The sequence below is a fragment of the Homo sapiens genome, chromosome 1 (assembly GCF_000001405.40).
Source record: "Homo sapiens chromosome 1, GRCh38.p14 Primary Assembly".
Lineage (NCBI taxonomy): Eukaryota > Metazoa > Chordata > Mammalia > Primates > Hominidae > Homo > Homo sapiens.
In genome coordinates, this window is record NC_000001.11 from 111313196 (window position 1) to 111328534 (window position 15339).

A 15339-nucleotide genomic window follows, 5' to 3' on the forward strand; every position below is an offset into this window, starting at 1 on the left:
AGTTATTTCTTTGATTTTTTGAGGAACATCTATACTATTTTCCATAATGGGTATACTAATGTTCATTCCCACCAACAGTGGGCAAGAGTTCCTTTTTTTTCCATGTCTTTTCCAACACTTACCTTTCATCTTTTTGATAACAGCCATTCTAAGCGGATTGAGTGGTATCTCATTTGATTTTGATATGTATTTCTCTGATGATTAGTGATGTTGAGCATTTTTTATACACTTGTTGACCATTGGTATGTCTTCTTTTGAGAAATGTCTTTTCAAGTCCTTGGCCCATTTTTTAATCAGGTTATTTGGTTTCTTACTACTGAGTTGTATAAATTTCCTATATATTTTTGATACTAACTAACTCCTTACTTGACATATGGTTTCCAACTATTTTCTCCCATTCCATAGGTAGTCTCTTCACTCTGTTTCCTTTGTCATGCAAAAGCTTTTTAGCCTGATGTAATCCCATTTGTCTATTTTTGCTTTTGTTGCTGCACTTTCCAGTCATATCCAAAAAATTCTTGCTGTAGCTCTTGGAGCTTTTTTTTAAGGTTTTCTTTCAGTAGTTTTACAATTTGAGGTCATAAATTTAGATCTTTAATCCATTCTGAGTTGACTTTGTTCAGTTTAGTCATATTTAAGAGAAGGAAAGCTACAGGTGATTGCTACTATCAGTAATGGCATTATCGTGAATACAGCTACTAGAATTTAAGTTACAATGACTAAGAGTAAATAAACTCCTTTACGGCAGTGTTTCTTGAAGTGTGCTCCATTGACTACTTGCCTCAAAATCATGTGAGGTACCTGAGTAAGTGTTAGTCCCTACTGCAATCCAACCGAATTGGAATCTCAGGGGAAGGGGCGATAAACCCAGATTTTTCATGTTGTCCTCCCACAACCCTTGCACTTAATTATTATGTATGTTAATGTTTGGGAATCTCTATTCAAGAGAATGTGTATAATTTCAAGCCAATTAATTTATTTTAACATTACAGAGGCTAAAAATGTAATTAAGCTCAAGCAACATTTACCATTTTATCTGATAGAATAGAATATTATATTAGCTATTCATGTTTTTTAAACTTACACAATCAAAGATACTGCCAACACACAATATTTTTTAAAGCCCAGTTTCAAAATTTAGATTTCCCTAGGGAACCCTGAGTGCATTCATGACAGGAACAACACAAAGAATTTTTATAAAGGAAGTTTTCAGTAGGGGAGGAAAATTGTTCTACAAAAGGCAAAACAAAAATATCTGACCAGATCCAACACTAAAGCAATGTATTTTAAATGGAGGGAGTCCTGACTTTTGAAGTTTATCTGTTTCTATCCTTTGTTTTACAGGAACAGCCAGCTGAAAACTCTCCTGGCCATTGGAGGCTGGAACTTCGGGACTGCCCCGTAAGTCTTCTATGGAGAGCATGTTGTTCGTTTGCTATGGAAAACAAGTTAGCCCCATGTGATCACTGTCCCTTTAGACTTCACAATCTAAGACAGGGTATTGAGGATGTACATAAACAAATATATGAATTAAATATATTGCTACACCAGAACCTCATTATTAAGTGGAACACAATTTATTTCATACATTTAATTTGGTGGACATTTGGGGGCCCTATCCACAGAGGTTTACTTACTGAGGTTCCCAAACAACCTCTTCTTAAAGTATTTCAAGAGTACAAACCCTGAGGACAGTGTTATAATGCTTCCCTCTATTTATCTTCTGGTGGGGGGAGGAATGAGAAAATCACACAAATAAACAAGAGGACTTCTTGGAGGGTACATGTTTGGGGAGGGAACACAGTGTGCTGGGTTTGCCAGGTATCCAAAGAAACAAGGGCAACTTGGGAGAAAGAGCAGAGTTGGGGGGATAACAGAATAAAGGGAATGTTAAGATACCATGGCTGGGAAGAGTAGTGATTACAAAGGAAGGAGAGGAGAAAACCAAGAACATGCTTTACTCTGGGCTGTGGGTCCTGATGAAGGGCTCTGAGGCAGGAATTGAGAGCTTGATTTTACTCCAAGGTGTTGGGACCACCAAGGTCTCACCCTGCCTTCTTTGGGTCTCCCTCAGTTTCACTGCCATGGTTTCTACTCCTGAGAACCGCCAGACTTTCATCACCTCAGTCATCAAATTCCTGCGCCAGTATGAGTTTGACGGGCTGGACTTTGACTGGGAGTACCCTGGCTCTCGTGGGAGCCCTCCTCAGGACAAGCATCTCTTCACTGTCCTGGTGCAGGTGGGGAAGGAAGTCCCAGTCTTTAGCCCAAAAAGATTCAAAGTCTTTCTTTCCGAGGAGAATTGGGTGGCTCTAGGGTAAAACAAAACTTGAATTTAAACTGATAGAATATTAGCATTGCAAAGAGTCTTATATATCGTGCGTTCATTAAACAAACATTTAATGGCAACAACAAAGCAACATGTGAGCTCTGTGCCAGGCACTGCTCTACATGTTGTTTTAAGAACCATAACTCATTTCATCTTCATATTTACTCTATGGCATACATACTATAAGTGTTATAATCTTTATTTTACAGATGAGGAAACTAAAGTACAGAGAGGATTTAAGCAACTTGCCCAAGATCACACAACTAGTAGGAATCATAACTTCCTCTGCAGTTTGGCCACAGAGTCCATTGCTTCTAAGCATTACACTAGGCTGCCCGTTATTACTGAGTACATATTCTGTGGCAGACATTGTCAGGCTAAATATAAGAATAAGACACTATCCTTGGCTTTGAAGAACTTCTTCTGAGGTGGAAGACTGAAAGAATATGAACAATGGCAATGCATTGTGATAAATGCCATGTTAGAGGTCTGCAGAGTACAAAAGTAACAAGGAAAGAGGGTAACTAATTCTGCTCTGGGGCAGGATCAGAAAGTGTTTCCTAGAGAAAGTGATGCTTGGGCTCAGTCTTGAAAGAAACTGGTGTTAACCAATTAAGTGAGGATGGGAATGGCACAAATGATATACAGATAAGTGTGAGCAAGTGGGTGATAATGGCTGTGAAGTTGCATGAAGAACCAGATAATGTGAGAACTTTTATATTATGTTCAGGAATTTGCACTTTACCTTTGACACAATGGGACTGTTTTGAAGAATTTTAAATAGTAGAGAGCTGGCTTTTACCATAGAGGATAAATTAGAAGGAGATGAGAAGTCATGGATAGAATTAGGAGGTTATTGCAGTAAATCAAGCAAGAAATGATCAGGGCCCCAACAAAGGCTCTAACACTGAGGGAAGAAGAGGATGTATATAAGAGATATCAAGAGGATAGAATCAATAGGATTTGGAGATCAACTGGAAATAGGAAATGGAGAGGACCTCCAATTTTCTGACTTTGAGGATGGGTTTGATTTTAATGCTATTAACTAAGATGGTAAATACAGGAAGAAGTGTAGATTTGAAAGAAGAAGAATTGACCTTGAACTTGATGAGTATGAGGTATCTGTAGAGCATCCTAACAGAGTGCCCAGTAGGCATCAGATAAATATCAATCTGGAGTTCAGGACAAAAAAGCTTGATATACTTGGTTTTTAGACTTACTGTCTCCCAAGACAGATTGTTTGCTATTCCATTCTATGTAACAGATCGTCACCCAGCCTCTGAATAGTTTCAATGTTAAGTAATAGGTGAAAAGTCAATTTACTTACTTGTTGAATTGCCCTAATGATCATAAAGGAATATCTCTTTCTTGGCTGGAACATGCCTCTAGTCATAATTTATAACTTCTGGTCATTGTTTCTAGTTCTTCCTGCTGAAGCAACAGAGAATAAGACTGCATCTTTTGCAATATATGGGCTTAATGTCTTAAGACAGCTGTAAATACCTTGCCTATAATTTCTCTTATTCCAGTTAAATATCTTAATGCCTTCAATCAATAACCGCATGACAATTTTCAGAGCCAGCCTTCACTGGAACATACTCTGGCGCACCCTAATAGTGCAATTATAAGAACTAAACCCAGTACTCCAAATGAGATTACAGTCGCACAGATACAGGTGGATTAATCTCTAGTATTGAATGGGAACCTATCATCTAGCTGTTACCACCTTCCTTATTGGCCAATACACCATTTTATTTGATGGGATGTCAGTCCTATAAAGTAGTTCATCTACTTTATGAAACAAATTTCTATACTGCTGGATGTAGGGTATCACTGCAACTAGAGCTTCAAAGTATAGAGATACAATGGAGCCCTGATGGTCATCTGGGACCTGGGTTTTGGTCATGACCTACCTACTAACTCAGTGTGGGACTTTGGTGAAGTGTCCTAACTCTTATGCATATTAGATAGCCAGAAAATTCAATAATATTATCTATCCGATCTACTTTATTTGGTTGTTGAGAGACTAAAGTAAAATAAAATATGTGAAAGCAATTTAAGAGAGAGAAGCATTATACAGACATATGTTTATTAGTATTATTTAAGGAGCTAAAATCAGCATCATAGATGTCCTATTATGCCTTATTATTCTGTAGGAAATGCGTGAAGCTTTTGAGCAGGAGGCCAAGCAGATCAACAAGCCCAGGCTGATGGTCACTGCTGCAGTAGCTGCTGGCATCTCCAATATCCAGTCTGGCTATGAGATCCCCCAACTGTCACAGTGAGTGATGTGCCTTATCTTCAAACTCCTGGAGGTGTCACTCGGGCACACTAGACTTGTCCTTGGTCTGGCTTGCTATTCAGGGACCTTGTTTAGGAGACTTTAGAAGTGGTGTCCTGTGCCTGCATAGGTGTGGGAAATGACCATCAGAATGATTTTAAATCCTCCACCCCACCTCAGGTACCTGGACTACATCCATGTCATGACCTACGACCTCCATGGCTCCTGGGAGGGCTACACTGGAGAGAACAGCCCCCTCTACAAATACCCGACTGACACCGGCAGCAACGCCTACCTCAATGTGGTGAGTCCCTGTACAGATGCAAGAGCAGACCAGAGATGATGATGAAAATCACATAGAGATTCAGGCACAAAAGGCATCATAAGTTTAGTGGTTTTCTCAAATGGGAAATTAGGCTGCCATAATTAATTAAATATTCTCATTTAATTTCACACAGAGACTGGGACACAAAGTAAACATAAATTCTGCAAGTGTCTCACTTAAACAACTGTCCTCAAGTTGATCGTATTTCATTAACTACAACTTCACCAAAATGTTTTGAAAAAAATACTAATCCATCTGGAATTAACAGCATAGAGTTTTACCTGTCGGAATAGGGGACTAATATAACTAAGTACTGGGTCCTCAGCTGGTTGGGCCATGTAACTAACCCACTGACATTGCAGGATTATGTCATGAACTACTGGAAGGACAATGGAGCACCAGCTGAGAAGCTCATCGTTGGATTCCCTACCTATGGACACAACTTCATCCTGAGCAACCCCTCCAACACTGGAATTGGTGCCCCCACCTCTGGTGCTGGTCCTGCTGGGCCCTATGCCAAGGAGTCTGGGATCTGGGCTTACTACGAGGTATGTAGATTGGACTGAAAAGTGCTCTGTGAATTCCGTGCACTGTGCCTTAGGGCTAGAATCTGCTGAAATCTTGAATGTTCATTCTGTCTCCTACCTAAATGCTTTAAACACAGCTGCTTAAAGTGTTTAAATAGCATTCATTTACATAATCCAAATGAATAGCATTTAACAATGCATAATATCCCTTCACACAACAGACTACCTTTTAAATGTAATTTATATTAGCACACAGGTAATAAAATAAATATACCTCTCATATTACTGTGGGTTCCCAAAATCATTTGACAAGCAACTTGATCCTCTTTACTACAAATAAAAACCTGTAACTAGAAATTGAGCAAAACCCCAACTGGAGACATGAAAGAAGAAAAATTTGAAACATGTTTTTCTTTAATGGGAGTAACATTTAATAGATTTGAATCTCTTGACTTTTGAAAGATCTGTACCTTCCTGAAAAATGGAGCCACTCAGGGATGGGATGCCCCTCAGGAAGTGCCTTATGCCTATCAGGGCAATGTGTGGGTTGGCTATGACAACATCAAGAGCTTCGATATTAAGGTAAGATCAGTCCCTTAAATGTGCTGAGGTCCCAGCCCTGAGTCCCAGGAAAGCAAGTGATTCCTGTTATCCTCTTTCTTTAAACAGGCTCAATGGCTTAAGCACAACAAATTTGGAGGCGCCATGGTCTGGGCCATTGATCTGGATGACTTCACTGGCACTTTCTGCAACCAGGGCAAGTTTCCCCTAATCTCCACCCTGAAGAAGGCCCTCGGCCTGCAGAGTGCAAGTAAGTGACTGAGGGGGAATGCCCAGGTGTATAAATACCCCTTCTCCAACTCAAAAAGCAACCCTGATGTCTTCCCACCTCCCCCTTGCCCAGGGATCCTCTTTCCACTTCACCTCACCGCTCTTGCCCAGATGAGAGACAGGTTTTACCCTTGAACGGCCATGTCAGGAACATTGTGCACTTATGGGAAGCCAGGCCTAACTGGGTGGGTGTTCTAAGTCTGCTAAGTCTTAAGGGTGTGGAAGAGCCTCAAGAAATTATACTAACATCAATATAAGTATCTGCTTCTCTATGAATCCCTTATTCAAAATCTTTCTCAGCCCACCTGGGGAGATTTAAGAAACCCTCACCAATGCTCACATATCTCTAATCAGTGATTCAGGGGATGTATCAATTCTCTAAATTTTTTCCAGATTTTTCCTAGAATTTATTTGTTCACCATTTATGCCCAGATTCTAGAAAAGTGTTTTGCATACATTTGGTGGTTAGTAAATTTTTTTTTGAATGATTTAGATGTTATAAGGAAAGAGCAACCTTTTTTTACAATTAAAAGCCAGGCTGGCTTGACACAATAGCTTTATTTATCTCCTGAATATGGAGCTACTTTCTCTTCTCAGTTGCAGGGATCCAGAGCCAACTGCACCCCACCTCCACACTTCCACTCCCACAGTTCTCTTCACCTCTAGGTGAAGCTTAGAGCCTCTCCCAAGCCCACTAGTCTGCTCTTACTGCTGTATGTTTCAGGTTGCACGGCTCCAGCTCAGCCCATTGAGCCAATAACTGCTGCTCCCAGTGGCAGCGGGAACGGGAGCGGGAGTAGCAGCTCTGGAGGCAGCTCGGGAGGCAGTGGATTCTGTGCTGTCAGAGCCAACGGCCTCTACCCCGTGGCAAATAACAGAAATGCCTTCTGGCACTGCGTGAATGGAGTCACGTACCAGCAGAACTGCCAGGCCGGGCTTGTCTTCGACACCAGCTGTGATTGCTGCAACTGGGCATAAACCTGACCTGGTCTATATTCCCTAGAGTTCCAGTCTCTTTTGCTTAGGACATGTTGCCCCTACCTAAAGTCCTGCAATAAAATCAGCAGTCAAAACATGACTGTCCTTGCTTTTAAGTGATTTGGGTGGAAACCTCTTCCAGATATGAAAATAGGGGCTATGCATGGGGGTGGAGTGGTGGAGTAGAGTGTGAGAGGAAGTGGTGGAGCTAACAGCGCCACAGTCTTCTATCTGCCTGTGTTCATCTGCATGAAGGTTGGAAGCTGTAAGGAGGAAATGTCTGAATGTTTGGTGCATGGGAGGGATGAGGATATGAAGAGGATAGGTCTGTCACCAGGCAATTTTCCTCAGGAAGGAGCTGAAGTGCTTCTGTAAGACTGGGGGACATAAGCAGTGCTGCCTGGCTTGCTCAAGGAGTGGAAGACTGGGACATCCTCTCCACTTCTACTGAAGTGGACTGGCAGCTTCGGGAAGATTTGTGCAGTAGACTCCATTTAGGGTTTCTGCCTAGCCCATGGGCCAGCCAGGCTCCCTTTCTCAGGAGATGACACCTACCATTGGAATCGTAGTGGTGGCCACCAGCTGCTGTGCTTGTATGCATACCCCCTCCCATGGCTTGGCTGATAGACTGGGATAGACATCAGGCTCAAGAGGGCCAATAAGATTATCACACCTCAGAATTTGCAGCTCGGAACAAGGAATTGCCTGTCATCACTCGTGTGGGTGGGTCTGCAATATGTAAGCTCAGGAGCTGTAGCGAGGGACTAGGGGGAAGGAAAAGTTGTCCTACATGCAGAGCTGAGCTACAGACAAAAGCCAGGATGTGAGATGAGAGAGAACATTTACTGATAGACGGCTTTCTTCTTCTTCTTCTTCTTCTTCTTTTTTTTTTTTTTTTATTGAGATGAAGTCTCGCTCTATCAGCAGGCTGCAGTGCAGTGGCATGATCTCGGCTCACTGCAACCTCGGCCTCCCGGGTTCAAGTGATTCTCCTGCCTCAGCCTTCCAAGTATCTGGGATTACAGGCACGTGCCACCATGTCCAGCTAATTTTTGTATTTTTAGTAGAGACGAGGTTTCACCATGTTGGTCAGGCTGGTCTCAAACTCCTGACCTCAAGTGATCCACCCACCTTGGCCTCCCAAAGTGCTGGGGTTATAGGCATGAGACACCACGCCTGGCCAGATAAATAGCTTTCTAGCTCTTGATTATAGTTCCTTCCTGAGGCCCAGATGCACTTTTGCCTATGGATTTTGTGAAATATCCCTATAATTACATAATAAATTCCTCTTTGCTGCTTAAGCTGACTAAAGTTTGCTTCTTTTACATGCAAATGAAAGAAACCTAAATAATGTAATGAGAATATAAGGGCTCATTTCTTTTTTTCTGGCATTCTTACTATGTGTCAAACTGTTCTAAGTGTTTTACATGTATTTTCCTATTTAGTTTTCCTAGCAACTTTATGAGGTGGATAACGTTAACTCCAGGAAACTGAAGTAGAGATGAATTAATTAACCTGCCCCAAATCACACAGCTAGGTAGTTGCAGAGCCAGATACATAGCCAGGTGGACTGGCCCCAGAGCTCACAGTCTTATCTACTATGTTTTACTTGCCTCCCTTGACACACACCACATTGTTCTCATGGGAGATGACAACACTGGTGGCAGTGATGAGGTGCACACCACTCTCTGGGCAACATCATTCATTCATAAACTCACACCATTTATTGATTATTATGTGTCAGGTGATATTCTAGGTACTGAAGACATAGTGGTAAATAAGACATACTCTACTCTCATGGGGATTATATTTTGCTAGTGGAAGTGTTAGATGATAAATAAGCAAATGAACAAATGAGAAAAATAAAACAGTGATAGAAAGTGACCAAAAGAGGAGACTACTTTATTTGGAGCAATCCCAGAAGGCTTCTCTGAGGAGGTCCTATACAAGATGGCCTTGACAGTCAAAAAGAGTTGTCTGTTTTGGGATCTGGGAAAAGTGTGTTTTGGGCAGAGGGACTAAGTACAAAGTCCTTGAGGTGGAAATGAACATGGAGTGTTAGATACAAGAAGCCCAGTATGGCCATGAGATGGTGGGCACAGGGAAGAAATAGGCAGGGGTCAGATCATTCAAGGGCTTGAAACATGGTTAGAAGTTTGTATTTTATTGTAAGTGGGCTGTGAAGCCATTGGAAAGTGATAATAGGGATGGGGTTGATGACAGGATCTAAATTCAACATTGATGAGATGAGGCTGGAATAGGATTAAAGAATATAGGAAAATGGCACTCATGGCGATGGTAGCCAATGGATTGACTGAGCACCTTTGTGACATGCCTTGAAGATTGAAGACAGAAGTGGGGGACTTGTGTCTTCAATGAGCAGAGGAAGGCAAGAGACAGTAAAAGTGGGTATCACTAGTAATGTCGTTATATTTCTAGTCAAAGAATGATGAAATCTGGAGTAAAATAGAGCATAGAAATTTTGGGGGTGGCTTTTGAAAGGAGTTTCCTATTTAGGTCACTACTAAAGTAAATAGCACTGAGGGGGGACATGGGGATGTGGGGCTCTGGAGTTAATGAAAAAATGACATGACATCAGCTGTTGGCTTTGAGGAAGAGCATCTTTGAACAACTTAGTGTCCAGTGGCTAAATCAAAGTGGTTTTCAAAACTAGCACCTTTTTCAATGCCACTATTTTCCCACAAAGATGAATTCTGCCACCATTTCTAGAACAGGGAAATTATTGCAGCCAAAACAAGTAGTGTCCCCTCCATTTTTCTTCCTATTTTTACATATTAATTGGTCATTCAAATGCATGTTTACTGTGCACCTACTATGTGCAAAAAGACGGTGAGCATGAGCTAGCTCCCCTGACCACTCTGACCTCACCTCCAACAATTCTCACTCACTCCATTCCAACTATGTCATCTTCTTGCTGTTTCTCAAGTATTCCAGGCATGTGTTGCCTCAGGGCCTTCATACAAGCTAGAACACACTTTCCATAGATTTCCATTTGACTCTTTCCCTCACTTTCTTCAGGCTTTTCCTGGAAGTCACCTTCTCAGTGAGGTCTTTCCTGGCCACTCAACCTGATTTTGAAACCCCCTTTCTCTGCCTCTGCCTGCTGTGCTTCTTTTGCCCTTTCTTGACACTTGTCACTACCTGACCTACCATTCATTTAACGTATTTACCTTTTTTATCGTCTACCTCCCTCACTAGTATTAACCTCCATGAGGAAAGGCATTTCTGTTCACTGCAACATTCTCACTGCCTAGAACAAGGCCTGGCATATTATAAGAGAATAAATACTTGGTGAATTAATAAATGAATGTGGTAAAGGAAGTGAGATAGGAATTAACAAGCTGACCCCTCACGTCAGGTGGTGTGTGGTCCATGGCAGACTTCTCTCAGCAGACACAAAGGGTTGGGTAGGCCTGCAGTTTCATGCAGGTCAGTCCTGGGTGCCTACCACTCACAGGAGGATGAATTCTCTCTTCTTGTTACCTGCCTGCAATTTCCCATCCCCAGGCATAGAAGATAACATGTTATGCCCCGACTGTGCTAAGAGGAATAAGAAGATGATAAAAAGATTAATAACAATAGAGAAGTAGCAGCAACCCGTTTGAATACAATGTAAGAGACCAGAATATGCCACCTCAAAATAAGTATTATTTTGATTTGAAGGCAACTGAAAAGAGTCACATGCAAGAGAAATTCTCTGCCTTCCCACTATAGTCTAAAAAACAGGACATAAATTTATAAAAGTCTCTTGTCCATTCTCTACCAGGAAGGACAAATGGTGGTGAGCCTGTAGATGACTTGCATCCCAATCATTGCTGTGCGGTGTCCTGACCATATTTGGTGTCTCCTGATGCCTTCTGTACTGATTTATTAAACATTTAGCTGTACGGGAAAAGAAAAACAAGCTGAATATTTCAAGCATCAGGCAATGTACTTTATATAGGTTATCTCCTACTTAGTGAGTATTGTCCCCAGGTTTCAGGGTGAGGAAATCAAGACCTTGTGAGGATAAGCAACTTGCCAAGGATCACAGAGCTGGTAATTAGTGGACCTCATTCTCAAAAATTAGGCCTCTCTGGCTCTCTTTAAACCACAATGCTGCCTTGCACAAATCAATGTCACAATGACTTGAAGAGGGACTTCCAGAGTGGGGCTGTTGCTTAGCAGCCAGTCTTAGTTACACCCTTCATTTTCTTGGTTAAAGTCCCCATGTGAGAGTGGCAACTCATGGAAATAATACATGAGAGATCCAGGCTTACTGGAAGTTCCCCTGAGGACCTGTTCTTGCCCAGAACGACTGAGGAATCCAGAAGGTCCATGCTATCTTCTCTACCTGGGAGCTTGAGAGGCAACAAAACCATATCATGGATCAGACAGCCATACATCTGGAACTTTGGTAATGGTAATCATGTTCTTGGACTCTAGTAGATGTATGAAAACTCATCCTTTTAGCATTGGAGTCTAACTGGAAAGAAGTAGAATATTCACAAGGTCTCTGATTACACAAGTTCTCTGATTCTGGATGGAGGCAGAGAGAGTGTTCCACTCACCAAATTATTTGTTTCAGCAAGGGCCAGCTCCCATCTTAATAAACCTGCACTGTTTCTTCATTTGCACAAAGATACCATTGGAGCCAGCTGCAGCCCTGGGCATGGAGGTGGTAAAGTGGAAGTGCCTTAATATTTGTTAAATACCAAATATAGGTTAGTCCCTCACTGTATACGATTTGTCCTTGTGTTAGCTCTGAAATTCTTATGGCATCCTTAGGAGGAAAGAAATGATTCATGCCATTTTATAGATAAACCAAGGCTTAGGAAGTTTAAGTAACTTCCACAAGGTCACATAGTTAGTCAATGACAGACTAATACTTATTGAAAGCCAGTGCTGAGAAATTTCAAAGCCTTTATTCATTCCTCTACCATCAGATGGTAGATGTAGGTTTTAAGAAAGTCTGGAAGATAGTATGTAGAAATTATATTTTCCTCCTCTCTTTCTCTCTTCTCCAGAATAGAGATCTCTATTCTCTTGGACAGGGATTCTCAATCCTGCTTTGAGTGGTAGATTATTTTATAACACTCTATTTATTATCCTAAAATTAGAATTAATTCATGGATAACATAACCTACTACATATAATTTCACAAACAACTTGGTATAATGCCCTAACTATAAAGTAAAGGAGAAAAAATAATTTCTAACAAAATAATATGGATTTCAGTACATAAATGTTTAGATGTAACTACTTTAGAGACAAAGAAGTAGTCAGATTCTTGCACCATATGTTGTATAATGAATTAGTCCAGAATTAAGAGATCAGAAGTCCTTTCATACAAGCAGTTTAGGAAAATAAAAGAATAGAGTTATAAGTGGACACCAGAACAAAAACCAGTATTAGGAGAACTAATAACACTCCAGATTTACCAATTTCTGATAGCAGAAAAAGGTAAATAGCTTTAGTTGAAATAGGAATAATACCTAGACAAATTACAAGCCATTGAAATGAAAAGAGGAAGAGAGTGTAAACATGCTGTTTTTTTACTGATGCATTATATTTTACCTATTTATGGGGTACATGTGATATTGTTACTTGCATAGAATGTGTAATGACCAAGTCAGGGTATTTGAGGTGTCCAGTACTTTGAGTATTTGTCACTTCTATATATTAGGAACAATTCAAGTCCTCTCTTCCAGTTACTTTGAAATATACAATTTGCTATCAATAACCATAGTCACTCTGCTGTTGAATGACAGAACTTACACCTTGTATCTAAGTGTATGTTTGTACCCGTTAACCTATCTCTCTTCATCCCCCACCACCCACTCACTCTTTCCAGCCTCTAGTATCTACCATTCTACTCTCTATTCTCTACCTTTATGAGATCGACTTTTTTAGCTCCTACATATAAGTGACATTGTCTTTCTGTGTCTGGGTTATTTCACTTAACATAATGACCTCGGGTTCTATCCATGTTGCTACAAGTGACGTGATTTCACTCTTTTTTTATAACCAAATAGTATTTCATTGGGTATATATACTACATTTTCTCTATCCATTCATCTGTTTGTTTTATATCTTTACAATTGTGAATACTGCTGCAATAAACACACAAATGCAGGTATCCCTTTGATATACTGCTAGATCATATGGTAGTTCTATTTTTAGATTTTTGCAATTTCCATACTGTTTTCCATAGTAGTTATAATAATTTCCATTTCTGCCAACAATATATAAGAGTTCCCTTTTCTCCACATCTTCACCACCATCTGTTACTTTTAGTCTTTTTAATAATAGCCATTCTAATTGGGGTAAGATGGTATCTCATTGTGGTTTTAATTTGCACTTTTCTGATGATTAGTAATGTTGAGTTCTTTTCATATCCACGTTAGCCATTTCTTTGTCTTCTTTTGAAAATTGCCTATTCATGCCTTTTGTCCAATTTTTAGTGAGATTTTATTTGTTTTTTATTTTTGAGTTGTTTTACTTCCTTGTATATTGTGGATATTAGTCCCTGTCTATGAATACTTCGCAAATATTTTCTCCCATTCAACAGGTTATCTCTTCACTCTATTGATTGCCTCATTTGCTGCACAGAAGCTTTTTAGTTTAATATAGTCGATTTGTCTATTTTTTTAATTATCTGTGCTTTTGATGTCTTAGCCATAAAGTCTTTGCCTAGACCAATGTCCTGAAGTGTTTTCCCTATGTTTTCTTCTAGTAGTTTTATAGTTTCAAGTCTTACATTTAAATCCTTAATAAATCTTATGTTGATTTTTTTATATGATGAGAGATAGAGGTCCAGTTTCATTCTTTTGCATTTGAATATCCATCTCTCCTTGTTGTGTCTGTGCCAGGTTTTGGTACCAAGATGATGTTGGCCTCATAGAATGGGTTGGGGAGGAGTCCCTCCTCCTCAATTTTTTGGAATCATTTCTGTAGGAAAATGGTCCCAGCTCTTCTTTGTACTTCTGGTAGAATTCTGCTGTGAATCTATCAGGTCCCAGGCTTTTTTTTTATTTGTAGGCTATGTATTACTGATTCAGTTTCAGAGCTTGTCATTGGCCTATTCAGGGAATTAATTTCTTCCTGGCTCAGTCTTGGGAGGGTGTATGTGTCCAGGAATTTATCCATCTCTTCTAAGTTGTCTAGTTTTTATGTGTAGAGGTGTTCTTAGTAGTTTCTGATGGTTATTTTTATTTCTGTGGGATCGGTTGTAACATTCCCTTATCATTTCTAATTGTATTCATTTGGATCCTCCCTCTTTTCTTCTCTATTAGTCTAGCTAGTGGCCTATTTTATTATTTTTTCCAAAAGCCAACTCCTGGATTCACTGATTTTTTGAATTTTTTTTTGTCTTAATTTCCTTCAGTTAAGCTCTGATTTTTGTTATTTCTCATCTTCTGCAAGCTTTGGGGTTGATTTGTTCTTGCTTCTCTAATTCTTTTAGTTGTGAAGTTAGGTTAATTTGAGATCTTTCTAATGTTCTGATGTGGACATTTAATGCTATGAATTTTCCTTTTAACGCTACTTTAGCTGGGTCCCAGAGATTCTGGTATGTTGTTATCTTTGTTCTCATTATTTTCAAAGAACTTCTTGATTTCTGCCTTAATTTCATGATTTACCCAAAAGTCATTCAGAAGCATATTGTTTAATTTCCATGTAATTGTATAGTTTTGAGCGATTTTCATAGTCTTGACTTCTATTTTTATTGTGCTGTGGTTTAAGAGTGTGTTTGGTATGATTTTGGTTCTTTTACATTTGTTGAGGATTATTTTATGTCCAATTATGTGGTCGATTTTAGAGTATGTGCCAGGTGGCAATGAAAAGAATGTATATTCTGTTGTTTTTAGATAGAGAGTTCTGTAAAGGTCTATCAGATCCATTGGGTCCAATGTTGAGTTTAGGTCCTGAATATCTTTGTTAATTTTCTTCCTCAGTGATCTGTCTAATACTGTCAGTGGACTGTTGAAGTCTGTCAATATTATTGTGTGGGAGTCTATGTCTTTTTGCAGGTTGCTAAGAACTTGCTTTATGAATCTGTGTGCTTCTG

General features: G+C 39.9%; 2 protein-coding genes and 1 long non-coding RNA gene across 12 annotated transcripts in view; 2 read left to right on the plus strand and 1 right to left on the minus strand.

The window, feature by feature from the left end:
• CHIA (chitinase acidic) overlaps positions 1–7368 on the plus strand; it is a 29713-nt gene extending 22345 nt beyond the window's left edge. For 4 of the 9 annotated variants that reach the window (NM_201653.4, NM_001258001.2, NM_001258003.2 and 1 more), the window contains 8 exons: positions 1345–1401; positions 2075–2240; positions 4486–4610; positions 4791–4914; positions 5298–5483; positions 5925–6044; positions 6132–6273; positions 7018–7368. In NM_201653.4, coding sequence (NP_970615.2) covers positions 1345–1401; positions 2075–2240; positions 4486–4610; positions 4791–4914; positions 5298–5483; positions 5925–6044; positions 6132–6273; positions 7018–7271 — 1174 coding nt within the window. In that variant the 3' untranslated portion in view covers positions 7272–7368. Of the gene's footprint in view, positions 1–1344; positions 1402–2074; positions 2241–2510; positions 2678–4485; positions 4611–4790; positions 4915–5297; positions 5484–5924; positions 6045–6131; positions 6274–7017 lie in introns of those variants that run through there. The other 5 variants (NM_001040623.3, NM_001258002.2, NM_001258004.2 and 2 more) reach the window with 4 other exon arrangements.
• A 3187-nt stretch (positions 7369–10555) lies between these two features.
• On the minus strand, positions 10556–11368 carry LOC105378903 (uncharacterized). The gene is made up of 3 exons (XR_947703.3): positions 11292–11368; positions 11056–11174; positions 10556–10832 (listed from the first exon to the last, which is right to left on the minus strand). It is a non-coding gene; the product is annotated as an uncharacterized LOC105378903 (long non-coding RNA).
• A 99-nt stretch (positions 11369–11467) lies between these two features.
• Positions 11468–15339, plus strand: part of CIMAP3 (ciliary microtubule associated protein 3) — a 28355-nt gene continuing 24483 nt past the window's right edge. For both annotated transcript variants that reach the window (XM_005270472.2, XM_017000322.2), the window contains exon 1: positions 11468–11688. In XM_005270472.2, coding sequence (XP_005270529.1) covers positions 11520–11688 — 169 coding nt within the window. In that variant the 5' untranslated portion in view covers positions 11468–11519. The remainder of the gene's footprint in view (positions 11689–15339) is intronic.